A 3326-nucleotide genomic window follows, 5' to 3' on the forward strand; every position below is an offset into this window, starting at 1 on the left:
TCTGGGCATAGTGCCACATGTCTGTAGTCCCAGCTACTTGGGGGGCAGAGGCGGGAGGATCACTTGAGCCCAGGAGTTTGAGGCTGCACTGGAGCTATGATTGCATCACTGCATTCCAGTCTGGGAGACAGAGTGAGATCCTGTCTTTAAAAAAAAAAAAAAGCAACCAGAACCAAAATTCCTCTTCCTCAAGTCTAGTTACAGACTCCTCTCCCAAAAAGCACGCTATAAAACCTAGAAAGGTCTCTCTGTCCTCCTTCTCCCTTGCAGACCCTCATTCCAGAAGAGTCCTGCCCCACACCCAGAAGGAAGGAGTGTTACACAGAGAGGCCAAGAAGAATCTAGACAGACAGGCCTTACTGGGCCTCCCCACTTGGTCTATTGCCATGAGATCACATGATTTGTCCAATCACATTTCTACATGGCCGTCTATTCTTCATCAAACCTAAACATAAAAATACAATTTTCCTTGGGTCTTTGAGTCTTCATTTCTGTAGGCTCCCATGTCACATAAAATTTTGATTAAATAAATTTATAATGCTTTTCTTTTGTTAGCCTGCCTTTGTTATAGGAGTGTTGGCCTTATGATGGTAAGGAAAGGTATCACGCCTTTCCATCCCTAAACAAGCAATGATTACCATCTAATTAAATTAAACAAAAATGCACGTGCCGGCCGGGCACAGTGGCTCACACCTGTAATCCCAGCGCTTTGGGAGGCCAAGGCAGGCAGATCACCTGAGGTCAGGAGTTCAAGACCAGCCTGGCCAAAATGGTGAAACCCCGTCTCTACTAAAATATACAAAAATTAGCCGGGCATGGTGGCAAGCGACTTAATCCCAGCTACTTGGGAGGCAGAGGCAGGAGAATCGTTTGAACCCGGGAGGCGGAGGTTGCAGTGAGCTGAGATTGAGCCATTGCACTCAAACCTGGGGGTAAGAGTGAGACTTCGCTAAAAAAAAAAAAAAAAAGCATGTGCCAAGCACTGTTCTAGGCACTTAGGGAATACCAGAGAACCAAAGGAACAAAAATCCCCACGTTTGAGGAGCTTATGTTCTGGTGGAGGGAGAGAGATAATAATTAATATACATAATAAATAGACTACATATTAAACATAGGTTAGGGTGCTGCATTATAAACTACTGACACTGTGAGATCATCAGTGACCTGGATGGGCAGTTTCAGTGGGGAGGAGGCAAAGGCCCAACTGAAGTGTGTGAAAAGTGAACTAGAGGAGAAAGGAGAGGTATTGGAGACAGTGGGTCTGGCTAACAAGGAAGTGGTAGCTGTAAGGACAAGTGGGCTGAAAGGAGACTTTCTTGATGAGAATGAATGAACTCAGCTGGGAGAGCTGCTGGGGCCATTTCTTTGAGCCCATGCAGTTGTGAGGCCCCTGGCAAAAATCATATGACACTCTCCAAAGAGGGAGCCTGGAGAGATTATAATAGAGGAATGGGCTGACTTAAGAGAAGGAATGGTGAATCACAGGGTGCTCACAAAGCAGGAGGGCCATGAAGGAGCAAAATCAGGGGCAGTTATATGAAATCAAGACAGGGAGCTTTAGCCACAGGAAAGGGTTGCCCAACCAAAGCCGGAAAAGAGCTTCTGCCCACCTAAGGCCATGGGGAGGGATTGAGGATAAATACCCCAAAGTCTCCCTCCTCCACCCTTCTCTGTACTACTTGTACCTCCCATTGTCTCATCCCAACAGAAGTCAGAATGCAACGAGATCTGGTTGATACTGCACAGAGATCAGCTCCAGGGCCCAGTGCAAGGAGAAGGTGGAGAACAGATCCAGAAGGGCAAAAGGAGGACACTTAGCACAGTGAGAGGAGATAGTATCTAGTGCACAAATAGAGGGACTGGATTTAGAGAGGGACATGGATAATTCACCTGCAGGAGGGACTCTTAGCCTTTATATATACCATAAATTCTTTGATGGGTGAAATTTCTGGATGGTCAGAATAATGTTTTCAAATGCATAAAATATAAAGGAATACAAAGAAAACTAATTATATTAAAACACAGTTATCAAATCATTGAAAAAAAAAAAAATCAAAGCCAGGTGTGGTGGCACATGCCTATAGTTCCAGCTACTCAGGAGGCTGGGGCAGGAGGGTGGCTTGAGCCCAGGAGTTTGAGGTTGCAGTGAGCTATGATTATGCCTGTGAATAGCCCTACTGCACTCCAGCCTAAGCAATATAGTGAGACCCCCATATCTAAAAACAAACAAAAAAAACTGTGATACATTAAAGCATGTGTTTATTAATGCTGTATATAAGATCTAGCAGTGGGTCGAGTAACTACCATAATTTCAAAGTAGACTGAGTACCGTGGCTCATACCTGTAATCTCATAACTTTGGAAGGCCGAGGTAGGCACATGGCTTGAGCCCAAGAGTTTGAGACCAGCCCGGGCAACATGGAGAAACCCTGTCTCTAAAAAAATTAGCTGGGTGTGGTGGCATGTGCCCATAGTCCCAGCTACTTGGGAGGCTAAGGTGGGAGGATCATTTGAGCCTGGGAGGTCAAGGCTGCAGTGAGCTGTGATAGTGCCACTGCCACTGTACTCTAGCCTGAGTGACAGAGCGAGACCCTGTCTCAAAAATAATAATAATAATAATTTCAAAGTGGTAATACACGTATACAATATTTTATGAGTTCTACAAAAACTGTTTCATATATCTGTAGTGTCTTTCGGGGCTAAAAGCACAGGTACTGCTAATGCTACATTTATTAACTACATTCATAGTTGAAAGACATGCTAGATTTCAGATAAAAGTCATTGGAAATAAACTTTCAATCCCACATGCAAGATCACGACCCTGTGGATTCTGCCCCCAGACCCTTTAGGAGGAAGGCAGAGTGTGAGGCCACAGAAGTCGACAGGTGGGGAAGATAGATGGTAGGAATCTGCAGGAACTTCTTCTTGCTTTGCATTTCTCAGTGAAGAAAGAGTCAAGTCATGAGCCAACAGTGAGGATGGAAAGGTAGATGTGAGAGGTTGAGAAGAGAGAAGGCATGAAAGAGTCTTCTAGGAAAGTGGGAAAGTGAATGAACTAGGAAATAGCATGTGATTACCAGGCAGCACAAAGGGCCCATCTGAAGTTCATGGTCATGGAATTTAACGGGAGACTGGTCAGCAAGGGTGTTTTCTTCTAGCCACGTTCAGCTTCACGAGAAAAAGACAGGCTAGAGGGAGAATTGCGTTAACCGCTGCTGGGTTTTTGCCGTGTGAGTATAACAAGAAAGGGGCAAGGGAGGAAGAAGTGTGCATGCTTAAAGGAGGGATTGTAAAAACCCATGGAATGCAGATTTTTTTGATTTTTAT

The sequence above is a fragment of the Homo sapiens genome, chromosome 2 (genome assembly GCF_000001405.40).
Source record: "Homo sapiens chromosome 2, GRCh38.p14 Primary Assembly".
Classification (NCBI taxonomy): Eukaryota; Metazoa; Chordata; class Mammalia; order Primates; family Hominidae; genus Homo; species Homo sapiens.